Below are 21,358 nucleotides of genomic sequence, written 5' to 3'. Positions count from 1 at the left end.
TAAGTCTATTCATGTGATCAAAAGACATTTAAAGGCATTCTTCTATTGTCTGCACGTTCTAATCTTGAAAAATTTGATGTTATTCTCATTCTTTGTATGTGGCTTTTATTCCTCTATTTAGACATTTAAGGTCTTATATACAGTAAACTGTTTTAGTTTGGGTCATCTTTCATTTATTGTGGTGAGCATATTTTATTAGAAAACTCGTATCTTTCAGTTTTAGGATATTTTCTTGTATTCTGATTGAATAATGTTGTCCTCTAAGTTTTCTCTTTGTGAAAACACTGTTAGCTTGATATTGAACCCCTGGAGCAAGGGTCTGATTGTTTAAAAACCTTTTCTTTACTATTTTCCATCTGTTTATCTTTTTGATCTTTTAAGTTCATATTTCAAACTTTTATTAAATTTTTCATTTCTGCTATAAGGTTTTTAATTTCTAAGAAGATTTTTCTTGTTCTTCATATATTCTTTTAAGTAATACTTTTAAATGTAGATACATTTTCCTATTGCTAGGGGCATTAATTATGAGTTTTTTAGTATTTTTGTTTAGTTTTGTACTCTCTATATTTCCCCTATTTCTGTGGAAATCTGATTTTCTCTGGGATTTTCTTCCATGTTAGAGTATTTCCTCAAATGTCTGGTGATTCTTTCCTTGTTGATTAGGTTATATTTCGGGGCAAGGCATCAAAAACCTGGCTGTCAGCTTTGTGAGTGTGTGTGGCGGGGGCGTGGGGGTGTGTTTGGGCGTATGTGTGTGGGTGGGTGTGTGAATGAGTGTGTAGATGTACATGTGGGCAGGGCTTATCGACTGGTGGGCCTCATTGGAGCGTGATGATGAAGGGTCCTAGTAGTTTACTGGGCATGTCAAATGTCAACATTTGATTGTCTTTTGGGATGACTAATTTCCTCAGAGATGATAAACTGCTAATTCCCAAATAGAGAGCAGTCTCATACTGGCCTAATATTAAAAAATGATGACATTTTTGGTATACCCTAGTATTTTAAATTTTTCATTAAGCTACTGGTAAAATTTTTTTCTCAACTGCAAAGCAAGAGCAGGAGAACAGGCTGGAGTATTAGGAACTTATGTTATTTCTGATACCCAGCAAACATTTCACATACATTAATTTTCCTTCCAATAGTGAGCTCTATTGCAAAGCAAAGAAAGCTCCTCGTTGAAGGCATGCATTTTTTTTTTTTTTTTTTTTTTTCAGATTCAGGGGATACATGTGTAGTTTTGTTACTTGGGTGCATTGTATGATGATGAGGTTTGGAGTATGATTGATCCCATCACCTAGTGAGCATGGTACCCAACAGTTTTTCAAACTTCTGCCCTCCCTCCCTTTCCCCCTCTAGTAGTTCCTAGATTCTGCTGCTGCCATCTTTATGTTCATGAGTAGCCAATGTTTAGCTCCTTGTTATGAGTAAGAACATTCAATATATTTTTTTTGTTCCTGCATTAATTCACTTTGGATAATGACCTCCAGCTACATCCATGTTGCTGCAAAGGACATAATTTTATTATTTTTCATGTCTGTGTAGTATTCCATGGTGTATGTGTACCACGTTTTCTTTTTCCAGCCCACTATTGATGGACATTTAGGTTGATGCTATGTCTTTGCTATATTTTTGGTTTTTGAGATGGATCTTGCTTTATTTCCCAGGCTGAGTGCAGTGGCACAATCTTGACTCACTGCAACCTCTGCTTCCTGGGTTCAAGCGGTTCTCCTGCCTCGGCCTCCCAAGAAGCTGGGATTACAGTCATGCACCACCATGCCCAGCTAATTTTTGTATTTTTAGTAGAGATGGGGTTTCACCATGTTAGCCAGGCTGGGCTTGAACTCCTGACCTCAGGTGATCTGCCTGCCTCGGCCTTCCAAATTGCTGGGATTATGGGTGTGAGCCACTGCACCTGGTTGTGTCTTTGCTATTGTAAATAGTGCTGTGATAAACATGTGAGTGCATGTGTCTTTTTGGTAGAACATTTTGTTTACTTTTGGATATATACCCCGTAATGGGATTGCTGGGTTGAATAGTCGTTATATTTTAAGTTCTTTGAAAAATCTCCGGACTGCTTTCCACAGTGGTTGAACTAATTTACATTCCCACCAACAGTGTATGAATGTTCCCTTTTCTCCACAGCCCTGCCAACATCTGTGGTTTTTAATTTTTTTTAATAATAGCCATTCTGACTGCTGTGAGATGGTATTTCATTGTGGTTTTGATCTGCATTTCTCTGAAGATTAGTGATGATGACCATTTACTCATATGTTTGTTGGCAGCCTGTATGTCTTCTTTTGAGAAATGTCTGTTCATGTCCTTTGCCTTCTTTTTAATGGGGTTGTTTTTTTGCTTGATGATTTAAGTTCCTTAAAGATTCTGGATATTAGCATTTTGTCAGATATATAGTTTGTGAATATTTTGCTCCCATTCTGTACGTTGTCTGTTTACTTCCTTGATAGTTTCTCTTGCATGCAGAAGCTCTTGAGTTTCATTAGGCCCCACTTCTCAATTTTTGTTTTCATTGTGATTGCTTTTGAGAACTTAGCCATGAATTCTTTCCGAAGGCTGATGTCCAGAATGGTATTTTCTAAGATTCTTATAGTTTGAGGTCTTATATTTAAATATTTAATCCAATTTGAGTTAATTTTTGTATCTGGTGAAAGGTAGGGGTCCAGATTCATTCTTCTGCATATGGTTAGCCAGCTATCCCAACACCATTTATTGAATAGGAAGTCCATTCCCCATCGCTTATTTTTGTTGGCTTTGTCAAAGATCAGATAGCTGTAGGTGTGTGGCTTTACTTCCAGGTTCTCCATTCTGTTCCATGGGTCTATTGTCTGTTTTTGTACCAGTACCACGCTGTTTTGGTTATTGTAGCCTTATAGTGTAGTTAGAAGTTGGGTAATGTAATGCCTCTGGCTTTGTTCTTTTTACTTAGGATTGTTTTGGATATTCAGGCTCTTTTTTTGGTTTCCTTTGAATTTTAAAATAGCTTTTTCTAGTTCTGAGAAAAATAATGTTGGTAGTTTGACAGGAATAGTGCTGGATCTATAGGTTGCTTTGGGCAGTCTGGCCATTTTAAAGATATTGATTTTTTCCAATTCATGAGCCATAGAATGTTTTTCCATTTGTTTGTGTCATGTATGATTTCTTTGAACAGTGTTTTGTAGTTCTTGTAGAGATCTCTCACCTTCTTGGTTAGATGTATTCCTTTGTTTACTGACTTATTTTTTTTTTTGCAGCTATTGTAAATGGGATTACATTCTTGATTTGGTTCTCAAATTGAACATTATTGGTATATAGAAATGCTACTGATTTTTGTACACTGATTTTGTAGGCTGAAACTTTACTGAAGTGGCATATCAGTTGCAGGAGCCTTTTGGTGGAGTCTTTAGGGCATTCTAGGTATAAAATCTTGTCATCTGTGAAGAGAGATAGTTTATTTTCCCATATGTATGACTTGTATTTTTTTCTCTTGACTGATTGCTCTGGCTAGCATTTCTAGTACCTTGTTGAATGGGAGTGTCAGAGTGGGCATACTTGTCTTGTTCCAGGTGTTAGGGGGAATGCTTCCAGTTTTTGTCTGTTCAATATGATGTTGGCAGTGGGTTTGTCACAGATGCCTCTTAATATTTTGAGGTATTCTCTTCTGATAGAAGGCATGCATTTTTTAAATGAAGAAAAAATATAGAGAAGCTGAAAGAAGGAGGAATAGAGAGAGATAAAGAAGTAGAGGGAAGAAGTAGGACAAGGAGAGAATGAGGAGAAAGGAAGAGAAGAGGAAAGAGAGAAGAAAAGAAGGAGAGTGAGAGGAAAATAAAGAGGTGTCAAGGAGGAGAGAGAGAAAGTAAGAGAAGAAGGCAGAGGTGGGAGGGGTGAGAAAGGGAGAGGGAAGTTGAAGAAAAGTTAAAACATATTCAGGGCTTTCTAGTCTCCCTTGATATAGTCATTGTTTAATTTTCCAGGCACGTCATCCAGTGTCTCTTTTAAGAAAAATGGTGCTACTACCTATCTCCAAAAAGAAACTAAACCCACCTGGCTTTGTGTGCCATTAGGTACCACTAGTCCTGCAGCCTTTTATTTCCTCTCTTTCAAGAGTCTTCAAGGAATGACTTATGTTACAGATGTCTGTTCATTTTTATTTTATCTTCTTCAGCAGATTAGAATTCCCAAGCAATGCCTTATATTATAGACACCAAATTATTTGTTTTGTCCTGTTCATTAGATTACTACCTCCCCAAAGGCAAAGATGTAGTCTTGTCTAGGGCTTCCTGGCTTATTGCAGTAAAGAACCAAATTTTTATTTTTTATTTAAAATATTTCCAATCTATCACAGTCTGATACTTTTGTACAAAATCATACATTTTGATATCATATAACATGCTATAACGATAGCATATAAACATGCTACACGTTTTAAAATGCTTACTCCTACTTTCTGAAATGAAATGGTAAAAACAATTCATTGATTGGCACTGCTTTACTGAATCCACTATGAGATGAAGCAGCAGTTCAGTGCACCTCGCATCTTGCTTTGCATCTACCAATATAACGTAAATGGAATTTTGCACTGAATAAATTTTATCTAAATATAACTGAATTGATATTCAAAAATAACAATAAAGATACTGGAAATAAAGTCTTGATTAGAATGAAATGGCATCATAAGATCTACTTCCTGTTTTTAACCCCTGATTTGTAGTTTGGCGGGTACTGTTAGGCAATTAACGATGCTTTTAAAAACAATGTGCATTGCATAATTTTTGAAGACATATTGTTAGTTAAGTCTAAATGATTTTGATACTACTCTTCATCTTACATTGCCAAAATAAATGTCTAAATATTTTACTAAATTCCCTATCAATGATGATTTGGTGTTGTTATCTTTGTAATATGGAAGGAAAGCTCAATTTTTAATCACAATAGTAGGAAACTATCCCTGTCTAGCAGGCTAGTTTAGAACAGCAACTGACATTATTATCATATAATATTTTGCACATACACAGTGCCCTTCAAATGTTGAATTGATGCACTTAATGAAATTAGACAGCTATTCTTCACAGAAAGGGCAGCAATGCTATCAAATCCTTTCACAAGAGCTTCAAACGAAAACCTGGCAACTTAAGAAAATTAATTAGGAATGAATGCTTTGATTTATTGGGCAATCCCTTAATTTGTGACTTGGTGGCTTTACATGGGAATTTGGAGTGCTTAGCCTGCCATGGGCTGGATAATCAAAGGCCCATGATTTACAGAACACATCTTTAAAATAACTTCTCTAGAGAACCTCACTTTTAAAAAGGCTTTCAAGACTTTTAGTATCCAATTGGGCTATAATATACACTTAACTGAAATACCACTTGCATGATATGATAATTTAGCCAGTATCTGGAAGAAATGTCTCAACAAGTGTTTCATCTTTTATATGCTTTTAATTGAAGCTAGGGGGAAACTGTAGTTGGTTGCCTAACACTGAATAAAACTACAAGCACATTATTTCATTTTGAAGTTGAATGTGGCCAGCAGCTTCTAATGGTATATTTTGAATGTGATCTAGTGAAATTTTTACTAAGGAAATAATAACATTTCTAAAAACATGAAACATTTGAGGATTGACTTTTCATTTTAATATCTACCTTAGTTAGCATGCCAAAATATAGCCACTCAATGCATTTTTTCTTCCTGATAAGCTCTTAAAGTATAAGTGATGTGTGGCTTTTGCTAATAGTTGGCAGCTATTGATTATACTATGATAGCTGACTTGTTCTGCAGAATAAAGTAGAAAATCCTTTTGAATCAAAAAGCATTTCTGTACTTTGAAAATGTCATTAAAAGCATTGAAAAGGTCACATTTTGAGATTGATAAAATAAAGATCAGTCACTCCTGGCTGGATGAACAGAATGTGATTGGGAAGTGAGGCTTTAAAACTGTTGCTAGCACTTTTATAGTGCAAATCTGGGATTCACAATAGCTCTAAAAGCAATAAATAACTTTTTACATACATGATTATTTTCCTGAATAATTAAAGCTATTATTTAGACATTCAAGTGCAGATGAAACTCAGAAGAAAACATGAGGTGTTAAGATACATGAAGTTGCCAGCTTTGTAAGCAAAAGTCCCAGACTGGACTCCATTCCAAAATGGCTACCAATATTCTGTGTTTATTTATGGAGATATCATCATGTCTCTGTATCTCACTTATTCAGCATTAAATGAATGATGATATCTATTTTGTCTTTATGAGAATCAGTAAAGATTCATTGAAGAACACAAAATAAAGGATAGTCAATACTTTGAACTGTCTGAAATAAATGCTGTTTAAACTGCCAAAAAATTATTTAGATAATCAAGTATTATTTAATTGAAAATTCAGTCTTCAGTATATTTAATGGAGCTAAAACAAAGAGAAATGAGTTCTCTTCAAGTAAGCTTAATTAGCTTTCTTTGAGATGAGTTGAAGGTAGCCGAGTGAAATCAAAGCACTTATTTTGCATTATTTTTAGTGATTATTTTCAGGACTGATATTAAAAGTATATGAGACTAAGATCTTATTTTTAAATTGAAACAATAACAACTCTCTTCGTGCAGTATTGATTCTACATATGACATCTAATCTTAGCCACCATTTCTATTTTATTCATATACACATTCAGTAAATATATCTTTCAACAGTCTGACTATATGATTACCCTTTCCAATGTGGCTTGACACCTTAAAAAACTCATGTTCCAATGAGAACACACGGACACAGGGAGGGGAACATCACACACCAGGGCCTGTCAGGGGGCAAGGGGAAAGGGGAGGGAGAGCATTAGGACAAATACCTAATGCATGCAGGACTTAAAACCTAGATGACAGGTTGATAGGTGAAGCAAACTATCATCGCACATGTATACCTATGCAACACACCTGCATGTTCAGCACACGTGTCCCAGAACTTAGAGTAAAATTAAAAAAACAAGACAAAACAAAACTAAATTCATGTTCCTTGAAAACAGTACTGGTAACAATAAGGAAACAGTGCTGGCTGTGTACATTAATGCACCTCCCAAAGCTTTGTTTGTTTTATATGTGATTCTGAAACATCACTTAAGGTTAGTTCTTTCCCATGAGTGAGAGCTTATGCATGTCAAGTTTACTGATTCATTTTCTTATGTAGAAATATTTGATGTCTACAAATTAGTTTGGCTAATTTAGACTTGCATGTTATGAAGTGGTCATAAATCCTTCATAGATTTTAAAGGGTTTCTCATAAGACTTGCTTTTTAAAAATAAATAAATGGTGAGGATTGCTACAACCAAGAGTTCAGAGGGTACAGTTAGATTATTTAGAGAATATTTAAGTTACAATTTTAACAACATTTTATCTTAGAAACACAGCCTAAATGACATCAAATTGTTACTGGGTTGAGTGGATTTAATGATTGAACAGGTTCTCTCTCTCTCACTCTCTAATAGATTGATTTTTTAAATTCTATAATTTATTGTGATGAAAGATCTCATCAAAATTTTTTTGGGGCAGGGTTCCCTATGATATATGATGATACCAATTTTTGAAGTAAAACTGATATGAATTGTGATATTGGGTTTAATGTGACACTTTATTATATGAACAAATTAGATAGTGGTAGAAGTGCTGATAACACTCTTTTGAAATATCATCAACTATAAAGTACTGCACCACTGCTTTCTTTATAAGCAGAACTTAAATAAATCTATTTAATGATCCTATACATTTTCTTCCCTCCATGTAACACTATATTGCTGCCTGCTATAACCTGCAATTGCTTCCTTTTCCCCAAGGAGAACATTTTGCTGAAGAAATAAAAGCCATTTCAGGCACAATCAGCCCCTCTGTTTCTTAAGACATTTTTTTAATTGTAAAAGACTGAGGGAGACTCTTTTTGATGACTCTACTGTATTTTACTATTGAACAGTAATGAGTGCCTACTTCTTAAAAATGCATACAGGAGCCCATGCATTCAACACGCCACTGTCAAAATATGCACATACATGATTGATTACCCAATTTACTGGTGATATTGTATATGCCATCATAGTGCAGTTTAAATGATTTTGACAAGTACAGAAAAGTGTCATTGACAGGTGCAGAAATAAATGATGGGTTTAAGCTTTCACATGTTTTTACAGCATTTCACTGACTGGCAGGTTGATAAATTAAAATTACAGTTGTAGCATCAGGCCTGAAAGCACAACTGCTTTAGATTACAAAAATAGCGCTGTGGAAACTTTGTGTACTCTCCAGAGAAGTAGCCTGGAGGGCTTTGGGGAAAAAAATGAAGCAAATGCAGTTGGTAAAGAAATCATTAATTTTGTGGTAGCACTGTCTGAGTCTTAAAAAAAACGCAAAAAAGTAGATTTTTAGAAGAAAATTGGCTTTGTCTCCTTATCCCTTTTTCCCTGCAGACATAGAGAAAATTGAAACCACATCATCAAAAGACAGGCATTGAATTGGCCATTAGTAATTCCGTGATGTTAGATGGGCATATTTAAAGCTTGGGGACAATTTCTTGTTAACCTTCCCTTAGTTTCAACACTACGCATGGATTTTAGCTTGTCATGCTGTCACCATGATCCCATCAAGTCTAACTGAGAAAACTTTAAGACACCACTCACTCACTGATTTCGACATTCTTAAAGAAAATGCTATTTCATCAGGCATTTTCTTTACATTCTTATTTCATTCTATTCAAGTCCTGCATCTTTTCAAGTCATGCCTGAACTTCTGCAACTGCTTTATAAGTGGCTCACTTTGGATAATATCACTCTTCAGTTGAAAGCAAAACAGCCAAGCAGGTATACATCATTGAATGGCTCCACTTCACCCACAGAATGAGCAGAAAGCTCCTTGTATTAGGATAATTTCTCAATACAGATTCTCCCTGAATTTGCCAATCTTATCTTTTGTCTTTTCCTGAATCTTCCTAGCTCACTAGACTGGAATGTCTGATACGTGGGGTATGGTGCCTTCTCTGCTGCTACTCATCCAACTTTGTCTCCCAGGAATGCCATTTTAATAGCTCCTTATTGAATTCTTACCTCACCTTGAAGAAAAACTCAGGTCCTACTTTTGTCTTGGAAATTTTCCTAATAATCTGACCAGTTTCTTTAACTTCTCAATTCCTAAATGCTTGATAGACAGCTATCATTTGATGGCATTAATATAAATCTGCTTTTGCTTTTATGTGTTCTGCTACCAACCATCCTTAAATCAGTATTGCTTTCCCTCTTTCATGTTCCTATTATTAAAGTTTTCAATATTGTACTCCATATTTTATATCACTCTAAGTACAGCCTGGAATTGTCTTCCTGTCTTCAGGCTGCTGTTTTGCTTTTTTTCTTGTCTCTCTTCCTCAGTGATCTTCCCTAGTAAGGCAGTCTGTCACTCCTGTGCTGATTTCACTCTCTTCTGAACTGAGAATTGGATTCTCTTAACACTTCTAAAATATTCAGTCCTTTGGATTCAATTGGTTAACATTTCTGCGATTCAGTGAAACTTTAGAAAAGATTTACAACTTAATTGCTGCAAAGAATGTTTTTAATAATTGATATTTATTTCCTGTTTACGATGTGTCAGACACTAAGTATTATCACATTCATAACAGCTGTTAAGAGTTAGTTATGACCCAGTATGATGGCTCATGCTTGTAATCCCAGCACTTTTGGAGGATGAGGTGGGAAGATTGCTAGAAATCAGGAGTTTAAGACCAGCCTGTCCAACACAGTGAGACCCCCCGTTTCTAGAAAAGATAAGAATTAGCCAGGTGTGGTGGCTCATGCCTATAGTTCCAGCTACTTGGGAAGCTGAGGAGGGAGGATCACTTGGGCCTGGGAGGTTGAGGCTGCAGTGACTGTGATTGCACCACTGCACTCCAACCTGGGAGATGGAGTAAGACCCTGTCTCAAAAGAAATTAATAATAATAATAATAATAATAATAATAATAAAAGATTAGTTACTACCTTAAGTGAGCAAATGGAGACTCAGGAAAGTTAAACAAATTGCTAAAGCCATCTGTCTAGGAAGTGACAGAATAGGATTCAGAGGAAGGAAATCAAATCACAGAACTTGGGCTCTTAAAGCAAGTGGCTAATACTATAATAATATATAGCATCTGTTACTAAATATGAGGTTTCCTACAAAACCTGGATAAATGTAAAATAGTGTGAGTCTTTAACCTAATAAGAACATCAAGGTTTAATAAAGTTTTCATAACAGCAGAAGTATATTGAAGATCTAAATTCTACTTCAAGACTGGAAAGAAAAGGGAGAAAATAAACCTCAAGGAAAATGGGTTCGTGAACTACAGCTGTTAGCAATTATAAGGTCATTTTTGGATGCAGGGCAAGCCTTGTTGCCCTGAAAGTATTTACTCTCTCTTGTTTGGATTTAGTAGAATAGATCCCGTGCATCTCAAAGGACTTAGGCGATCCAGGCTTGGCTGGTCCATGCTTAGCTCACACATAGTGCTTCAATAGAGATAAATATAATAAAATAATTCTGATATTTTTATCATTGATGTATTCTTTTTATTTCTTTTTATAATTTTAAAATTTTCTAATGTTAACTTTAGTGGGTGCATAGTAGGCATATATATTTGTGGGGTACATGAGATATTTTCACACAGGTACGCAATGTGTAATAATCACATCAGGGAGAATGCGGTATCCATTCTCCCAAGCATTTACGCTTTGTGTTACAAACAAACAATCCAATTACACTCTTATAGTTACTTAAGATGTACAATTATGTTATTATTGACTATAGTCACCCTGTTGTGCAATCAAATAGGTCTTATTCATTCTTTCTAATTTTTTTTGTATCCATTAACCATACCCCCGCCCCTGCCCCAGTGATGTATTCTTGAAGATCTTCCAACCAAACCTGGGAAATAATATATTGTGAGATAAGTCAATATAACTTTTAAATTGTTCTGACTTAGTTAAATTATTCTGATACAGTGAACAAAATCTGAAGTTTTTTTTAACCAATGTAATAAGCATCCTCATATAAAGCTACTTATGAAAAAATTCATCAAATGAAAAATTGGTATAAATCGATATTTAATTTCAAAATACAACTAATTCATATTAAAGTCTTCTTTAAAAGTTCAACTTCATGCTGAAGAAGAAGAAATAATTCATGTGGAAAGTTTCCTTTGGTGCTGTGAGTGTATGCTCAAAGTGGCTCAGTGTCTGCAAGGTATCAACAGTCAGTGCTTGAAGAAACTTCATGCATTTTTTGACATGTAACCTTAAAATGGAAATCTCAGTCTTCAAATGAAGGATCTTTGATTCCTTCTCATTTGTGTTTTCATTAAAAAGTTGTAATAACTTTTTCAAGGCAAGACTGGTTTTAAACTAAGATTTATATATTAGAATCTTGATGATCACTCTGTGCTTATTCACCTTTCTTTTCTTTTTTTCTTTTTTTTTTTTTTTTTTTTGAGACAGAGTCTCTCTCTGTTGCCAGGCTGGAGTGCAGTGGCATGATCCCGGCTCACTGCAACCTCTGACTCCCCGGTTCAGATGATTCTGCTGCCTCAACCTCCCGAGTAGCTAGGATTACAGGTGTACACCACCACGTCCAGCTAATTTTTGTATTTTTAGTAGAGCTGGGGTTTCACCATGTTGGCCAGGATGGTCTGGATCTCCTGACCTCGTGATCTGCCTGCTCGGCCTCCCAAAGTGCTGGGATTCCAGGCATGAGCCACCGCGCCTGGCCTTATTCACCTTTCTAAATGCAAACTTGATGCCTGTTTTCTCTCAGCTTATTTCCAAGATCAGAGTATATCTGATGCAGCATTGAAAGGAAGCATTCTCCTAGCAGAATTTTATTATGTTAATTGCTCTAAAAAAATATAATGTTTCAAGGATGATTGGAATATGAGCCCCCAAACTTAAGCCCTCCATTAAAAAACAAGGTTGCTTAACATCTTAAAAAATGTTAAGATGGGCAAGAATTTTAATGTTCAAATGTATTTTATAAATATATTTTATTTATAATAATATAAACATTCAGTATTATGTATTTATAATAAATTTAAATATATTTAATAAATATATAAATAGTAAATATATAAATACTTATAATAGTTTAAAATAGAAAATATTAATATTTAAAAAATAGACATTTATTAAATATTGAAATTATATTATTTAATATTTTGAAGTTTAAAATTTATTATGATCCCAGCCTTAGGTCTAAGATGACATCAGAATGAATTTATATGTACTTCTGCATAGGCAGTGTGGAGGCTTCCATGGCATATATTCTGGGCTCTTTGCATCTATCCTGGTCTCTGTGGAGTGAACTCCAAGATAGTTCTAGTTCAATGTGGCTGCCTCCACCACATGCATTTAAAACAGGGAGGGATTGTGGACATTACATTTCGAAGATTTTCTGAAGGGACTCCAGAGATGGTAAGTGTTTACAATGACAACCTGTGCATGTGTGTATGGAAAACAATGGAGGTGGATGAAAGCACCTTGTAGATGATGGCTCCCAGGCCCCACTGGTATCAGAATCACCTAGGTAGCGTTGGAAAACACTGCATCTGTTGATCTACCTGTGCAAACAGAATCACACTTGGGATGAGCTTTCATGCCTCACTCTAGGTGTATTAGAGGGAAACTACATTAAATGAACAAAGAAGTAACAGGTCTTTTTTCCCCCCTCAATGACATTATTTTAGAAGTCATTTCCTGGTGCATATGAAGAAAGTTCTTTTTATATCATATATATAGTTGCAGATCAGAGACCTGAGATTTCACTCAACTTCTTTTCACAACTCCATGCTCTTTCTCAGTAAGGAAATAACTTCTTGTAACTTTCTTTGACAGTTTTTTTTTCCACTGCAATATTCAGATTGGGTCTATGTTGTGACCAAACAATTTTATTTCAAAATTAGTACAGCACATTTATCCAGGGAAGAATTTGGTTCACCAATTTATATTAAGATGAGATGCATATTAAAAATGTATCAATATTTCTACTTAAAAAATTTAAATGACAATTACTAGTATTCATCATTAAAATCTAAATGACAATTACTAGTATTCATCATTAAAATCTGAAACATCTGTACTCATATTGCTTGATAACTCATTTCATGACAATTTTTATCTTTCCCCATTATAATAACTTCTGTTGGTTTTTATAATGAAACTTCTTTTGCTTTTTATAATGTAACTCAAAGCACTGCCTATAAAAATGGAGATTTATTATTTTAAAGCTTTCTGATTGACTCTTTAGAACATGATACATAAATATACCTTCCAGAATTGTAATGATAGCTAACATTTATGAGCAATTCTTATGTGTCAAAAAGTGTGCTAAATGTTTGATATAAATTATTATCTAAATCTTTTAATCTCCATTTCACAAACAAGAACCTGAAGCTTGGGAGTTTAAGTGGGGAGATGGATGAAGCTGGAAACCATCATTCTCAGCAAACTATCGCAAGGATAAAAAACCAAGCACTGCATGTTCTCACTCATAGGTGGGAATTGAACAATGAGAACACTTAGGCACAGGAAGGGGAACATCACACACTGGGGCCTGTCGTGGGGTGGGGGGAGGGGTAGCATTAGGAGATACACCTCCTGTAAATGACAAGTTAATAGGTGCAGCACACCAACATGGCACATGTATACATATGTAACAAACCTGCACGTTGTGCACATGTACCCTAGAACTTAAAGTATTAAAAAAAAAGTAATTGCCTAAACTAACACATCTAGCTTGTAAGTGTCCAAGCCTATGAGGGTGAAAGCAACTTTCACCAGTGCATATTAACAAATACTTTAAGACACTGACAGGCAGTGGACTGAAGTATGCAATATTTAGCAGTGATTTATTCATTAATATAATTCACACATTTTTATTGAACATAGAATTAAAATTAATGTGAGTGAGGTGTGCTGTGGACAAATTCAATGTTACATACTCACATGTCAACTGATGTAATAAACCATATACCATGCACTTATTCTGACATGTGACTATGGATTAAAAGTCATAAATTTGATCATCACAGAGGAATGGGAGGCAGGACTAGACTGCAGTTCCCACTTGGACAGACAGAGCAGCGTGCAGAGGCTCGCATGGTGAATTTTAGCTCCAGATCAACTGCAAGAATGAACCAGCAATCCCAAGAGGACCCACAGACCCTCTGAAGGAGGCAGAGTGCTCCTGCAGGACCCAGGAGACATCCCAAATACTGAGTGCCCCAACTGCAGAAGTGGGAAAGGGAGATCCTCCTCTCCCAAACACACACCCCCGACTGGAGAAACTGAAGGTCTGTTTGTGGCAGAAAAGTTTCCGACCTTATCTGGAGCTGAGTCAATTTCAAGAGCTGAGTGAAATACAGGGATAGAGGAAGCAGTGGGAAAAGCCCCGGGAGCTCGCTGGGTCTTCAAGCAGGCCATTCCTGCCTGGCACCACAGGGATCCATCAGGAGGGTGGCCAGAGGAGCGGGGGAAAAATACCACAGGCAGAAGGAAATCTCCAGCTGAATTTTGTAACAACTTGAAAGGGGCAAGAAGCCTCCTAGCCAAAATTCAAGGGAGAGCGGGAATCCAGTGTGCAGACTCCACAGGCTGGGGAAGAACCAAACCTTTTTCTTTCGCAGCTGGGAGACAGGTAGCCTGGGGCAAGTTCTCAAGCCTGGCTCACCCACTGCCTGCAAACCAACTTGGGGCTGTTAGCGGGGGCATGGTGGGAGTGAGACCTGCCCTTTGGTTTGCATGGGAGCTGGTTAAGCCCTGTGACTGCCAGTTTTCTCCCACTTCTCTGACAACCTTCATGATGCAGAAGAGGCAGCCACAATCCTTCTTGACCTGGGAACCTCATCTCCGTCCCCCACAGCAGCCACAGCAAGACCCATCGAAGGAGAGCCTGAGCTCGGACATGCCTAGCCCTGCCCCCACCTGATGGTCCTGCCCTACTCACCCTGGTAGCTGAAGACAAAGGGCATATAATCTTGGGAGTTCTAGGGCCCCACCCACCATTGGTTCCTCTCCATACTACCACAGCTGATGCTCCCTGGAAAGTGCCACCTCCCAGCAGAAGGCCAACCCGCACAAAAATAGAGCATTAAACCACCAAAGCTGAGAACCCTGACAGAGTCCATTTCATCACAGGACTCTGCAGACAACCCCCAGTACCAGACTGGAGCTGGGTGGACTTGCTGGGTGGCTAGACCCAGAAGAGGGACAACAATCAGTGTAGTTCGGCTCACAGGAATCCACATCAACAGGGAAATGTGGAGAGTACTACATCAAGAGAACTCCCTGTGGGACAAAAGAATCTGGACAACAGCCTTCAGCCCTAGACCTTCCCTCTGACAGCGCCTACCCAAATGAAAGGGAACCAGAAAACCAACTCTGGTAATATGACAAAACAGGCTCTTAAACACCCCCAAAAATCACACTAGTTCACCAGCAATGGATCCAAACCAAGAAGAAATCCCCGATTTACCTGAAAAAGGGTTCAGGAGGTTAGTTATTAAGCTAATCAGGGAGGCACCAGAGAAAGGCAAAGCCCAATGCAAGGAAGTCCAAAAAAAGTGAAGGGAGAAATATTCAAGGAAATACATAAAGAAACAAATAATAAAAAATTCAGGAAACACTGGACACACAGAAATGCAAAATGCTCTGGAAAGTCTCAGCAATAGAAATGAACAAGTAGAAGAAAGAAATTTGAAGTTCAAAGACAAGGCCTTCAAATTAAACCAATCCAACCATGACAAATAATAAAGAATAAGAAAATATGAACAAAGCCTCTAAGAAGTCTGGGGTTATATTAAATGACCAAACCTAAGAATAATCGGTATTCCTGAGGAAGAAGAGAAATCTAAAAGTATGGAAAACATATTTGGGGGAAAAATCGAGGAAAACTTCCCTGGCCTTGCTAGAGAACTAGACATCTAAATACAAGAAGCACAAAGAACACCTGGGAAGTTCATCACAACAATATCATCACCTAGGCACACTGTCATCAAGTTATCTAAAGTTAAGATGAAGGAAAGAATCTTAAGAGATGTGAGACAGAAGCACCAGGTAACCTACAAAGGAAAACCTATCAGATTAACAGCAGATTTCTCAGCAGAAACCCTACAAACTAGAAGGGATTGGGGTCCTATCTTCAGCCTCTTTAAACAAAACAATTATCATTCAAGAATTTTGTATCCAGCGAAACTAAGCATCATATATAAAGGAAACATACCATCTTTCTCAGACAAACAAATGCTGAGAGAGTTTGCCAGTACCAAACCACCACTATAAGAATTGCTAAAAGGAGCTCTAAATCTTGAAACAAATCCTGGAAACGCATCAAAACAGAACCTCTTTAAAGCATAAATCACACAGGACCTAGAAAACAAAAGTATAAGTTAAAAAGAAAAAAAAACAAAAAACAAAACCAAGGTACGCAGGCAACAAATAGCATGATGAATGCAACGGTACCTCACATCTCAATACTAAACATTGAATATAAATGGCCTAAATGCTTTGCTTAAAAGATACAGAACTGCAGAATGGATAAGAACTCACCAATCAACTCTCTGCTGCCTTCAGGAGACTCACCTAATACGTAAGGACTCACATAAACTTAAAGTAAAGGGGTGGAAAAAGGCATTTTATGCAAATGGACACCAAAAGTGAACAGGGATAACTATTCTTATATCAGACAAAACAAAAACTTTAAAGTAACAGCAGTTAAAAGAGACAAAGAGGGACATTATATAATGGTAAAATACCTTGTCCAACAGGAAAATATCACAATCCTAAACATATATGCACCTAACACTGGAGCTTCCAAATTTATAAAACAATTACTAATAGACCTAAGAAATGTGATAGACAGCAACACAATAATAGTGGGGAACTTCAATACTCCACTGACAGCACTAGACAGGTCATCAAGACAGAAAGTCAACAAAGAAACAATGGATTTAAAGTTTACCTTGGAACAAATGGTCTTAACAGATATATACAGAACATTTCATCCAACAACTGTAGAATACACACATTCTATTCAAGAGTGCATGGGACTTTCTAAAACATAGGCCATACAATAGGCCATAAAATGAGCCTCAATAAATTTAGGAAAATTGAAATTATATCAAGCACCTCTCAGACCACAGTGGAATAAAAGTGGAAATCAACTCAAAAAGGAATCTTCAAAACCTTGCAAATACATTGAAATTAAATAGGCTGCTCTGGAATGGGCATTGAGTCAAAAACAAAATTAAGATGGAAATTTAAAAATTCTTTGAACTGAACGACAATAATGACACAACCTATCAAAACCTCTGGGATACAGTAAAGGTGGTGCTAAGAGGAAAGTTCATAGCCCTAAATGCCTACATCAGAAAGACTGAAAAAGTACAAACTAACATTCTAAGGTCACATCTCAAGGAACTAGAGAAACAAGAACAAACCAAAACCAAACCCAGTAAAAGAAAGGAAATAACCAAGATCAGAGCAGAACTAAATGAAATTGAAACAAAAAGAAATAATACAAAAGATAAATGAAACAAAAAGCTGGTTCTTTGAAAAGATAAATACAACTGATAGACCATTAGCAAAATTAACCAAGAAAAGAAGAGAGAAAATCCAAATAACCTCATTAAGAAACGAAACAGGAGGTATTATAACTGACACCACTGAAATACGAAAGATCATTTAAGGCTACTGTGAACACCTTTATGCACATAAACTAGAAAACCTAGAACAGATGGATAAATTCCTGAAAAAATACAATCCTCTTGGCTTAAATCAGGAAGAATTAGATACCCTGAACAGACCAACAACAAGCAGGGAGATTGAAATGGTAATTTAAAAATTACCAACAAAAAAATGTCCAGGACCAGATGGATTCACAGCAGAATTCTACCAGACATTCAAAGAAGAATTGGTACCTATCTTTTGATGCTATTCCACAAGATAGAGAAAGAAGAAACCCTCCCTAATTTATTCTATGCAGCCAGCATCACCCTAATACCAAAACCAGGAAAGGACATAACCAAAAAAGAAAACTACAGACCAATATCCTTGATAAACATAGATGCTAAAATCCTTAACAAAATACTAGCTAACCAAATCCAACAACATATCAAAAAGATAACCCACCATGATCAAGTAAGTTTCATACCAGGGATGCAGGGATGGTTTAACATATGCAAGTCAATAAATGTGATATACCACATAAATAGAATTAAAAATAAAAATCACATGATAACCTCAATAGATGCAGAAAAAGCATCTGACAAAATCCAGCATCCTTTTATGGTTAAAACTCTCATCCCTCAATGTAATAAAAGCCATCTATGAAAAACCCACAGCCAACATAATACTGAATGGGGAAAAGTTGAAAGCATTCCCTCTGAAAACTGGAACAAAACAAGGATGCCCACTCTCACCACTCCTCTTCACATAGCACTGGAAGTCCTAGCCAGAGCAACTAGACAAGAAAAAGAAATAAAGGGCATCTAAATTGATAAAGAGGAAGTAAAACTGTCACTGTTTACTAACAATATGATTGTTTTCCTTGAAAACCCTAGAGACTCCTCCAGAAAGCTCCTAGAATGGATAAAAGAATTCAGCAAAGTTTCTGGGTACAAGATTAATGTACACAAATCAGTAGTTCTGCTACACACCAACAGTGACCAAGCTAAGAATCAAATAAAAAACGCAATCCACTTTACGATGGCTGCAAAAAAATTTAAAATACTTAGGAATATACCTAACCAAGGAGTCAAAAGACCTCTACAAGGAAAACTACAAAACACTGCTGAAAGAAATCACAGATGACACAAACAAATGGAAATACTTGCCATGTTCATGGATGGGTAGAATCAATATTGTGAAAATGACCACACTGCCAAAAGCAATCTACAAATTCAATGCAATCCCAATCAAAATACCACTATCATTCTTTACAGAATTAGAAAAAACAATTCTAAAATTCATATGGAACCAAAAAAGAGCCCGTATAGCCAAAACAAGACTAAGCAAAAAGAACAAATCTGGAGGCATCACACTACCTGATTTCACACTATATTACAAGGACATAGTCACCAAAACGGTGTGGTACTGGTATAAAAATAGGCACATAGACCAATGGAACAGAGAAGAGAACCCAGAAATAAACCCAAATACTTAACAGCCAAATGATCTTCGACAAAGCAAACAAAAACATAAAGTGGGAAAAGGACACCCTATTCAACAAATAGTACTGGGATAATTGGCAAGCCACATGTAGGAGAATGAAACTGGATCCTCATCTCTCGTCTTATACATAAATCAACTCAAGAAGGATTAAAGACTTAAATCTGAGACCTGAAACTATAAACATTCTAGAAGATAACATTGGAAAAATGCTTCTAGACATTGGCCTAGATTTCATGACCAAGAACCCGCAAGCAAATTCAATAAAAACAAAGATAAATAGTTGAGACTTAATTAAACTAAAGAGCTTTTGCATGGCAAAAAGAAGAGAGTGAACAGACAACCCACAGAGTGGGAGAAAATCTTCACAATCTATACATCTAACAAAGGACTAATATCCAGAATCTACAATGAACTCAATCAAATCAGTAAGAAAAACACAAACATCCCATCAAAAAGTGGGTTAATTACATGAATAGATAGTACTCAAATGAAGATATACAAATGGCCAAGAAACATATGAAAAAATGCTTAACATCACTAATGATCAGGCAAATGCAAATCAAAACCATAATGCAATACTAGCTTACTTCTGCAAAAATGGCCATAATCAAAAAATCAAAAAACAGTAGATGGTGGAGTGGATGCAGTGAATAGGGAACACTTCTACACTGCTGGTGGGAATGTAAACTAGTACAACCACTATAGAAAACAGTGTAAAGATTCTTTAAAGAACTAATAGTAGAACTACCATTTGATCCAGCAATCCCACTCTGGGTATCCACCCAGAGGAAAAGAAGTCATTATATGAAAAAGATACTTGCACATGCATGTTTATAGCAGCAGAATTCGCAATTGCAAAATCATAGAACCAACCCAAATGCCCAACAATCAAAGAGTGGATAAAGAAATTGTGGTGTATATTTATATGATGGAATACTAATCAGCCATAAAAAGAAACAAATTAACGGCGTTTGCAGTAACCTGGATGAGACTGGAGACTATTATTCTAAGTGAAGTAACTCAGGAATGGAAAACCAAACATCGTATGTGTTCACTGATAAGTGGGAGCTAAGCTATGAGGATGGAAAAGCATAAGAATGATACAATGGACTTTGGGGACTTGGTTGGGTGGGAAGGTTGGGAGGGGGGTGAGGGCTAAAAGACCACAAATATGATGCAGTGTATACTGCTTGGGTGATGGGCGCACCAAAATCTCACCAATCACCACTAAAGAACTTACATCTTCTCACTGAAAAAGGCAGCAGAGAGCTACATACATGCTTTTATTTTTTTGAGACAGGGTCTCACTTTGTTGCCTACGCTGGGGTGAAGTGGTGCGATCTCGGTTCATTGTAGCCCGGACCTGCTGGGCTCAAATGATCCTCCCGCCTCAGCCCCCCAGGTGGCTAGGACTAGAGGCACGGCACCACGGCCAGCTAATTTTTGTAATTTTTTGTAGAGATGATGTTTCACCATGTTGTCCAGCCTGGTCTCGAACTCCTGAACTCAAGTGAGTCGCCCACCTTAGCATACATACTTTTGGACAATCTTATTTAAAATAATTTTCTTGAGGGAACAGAAACATTTAGCTATAAATTAAAATATCCATTCAGCAGAATCATTTGGGTTGCCTTTCACACCACTTTACTTTTAAGACATAAGCAGTATCTTATGTGTGCCATGCTAATTTTCCCACTTTGAGCATTGGCTGAGCGATACAGTATTTTTTTTTTTTTTTGGAGAGATTTTCTCAGGGTTCTAATAATCAGTGCTAAACTGTTGATAAATTTAAAACAAAGATTACTTAGGGTCTGCCTTTTAAAACAGAAGTATGCAATAAAAAAGGAATTCCATCTCATAATAGCCAGGAGAACAGTAAAGGCTGCACAGAAACTACATGAAGTGAGGCGTGAAGAGAAGCTATTTCAGGCCTTTTGACTTGAGGGCAAATACACATGCATTCAAACTAAAAGATTTCTTCAGGTGTAGAGATTTTTAACAATAGGAGCTGATGATCAATGTAGGGAAAAAAGCATGCTTTATCACTTTTTTTGGGCCAGACCAACTCGACCTTTCATTTTCCATGTAGTCTTCAAATAAATGCATATATTCCATTTTTTGTCTTCCACATCCCCTAATAATTATTTTGATTTCCATG

The 21,358-nt window shown here is 36.6% G+C and overlaps 1 protein-coding gene across 58 annotated transcripts in view; it reads right to left on the bottom strand.

Moving 5' to 3' along the window:
• RALYL (RALY RNA binding protein like) overlaps positions 1 to 21,358 on the bottom strand; it is a 739,058-nt gene that overhangs the window by 94,341 nt on the left and 623,359 nt on the right. The window lies entirely within an intron of this gene.

This window comes from Homo sapiens, chromosome 8 (genome assembly GCF_000001405.40).
Source record: "Homo sapiens chromosome 8, GRCh38.p14 Primary Assembly".
NCBI lineage: Eukaryota > Metazoa > Chordata > Mammalia > Primates > Hominidae > Homo > Homo sapiens.
Note: the sequence above shows the minus strand (reverse complement) of the source record. Positions and strands in the feature narration are given on the sequence as shown.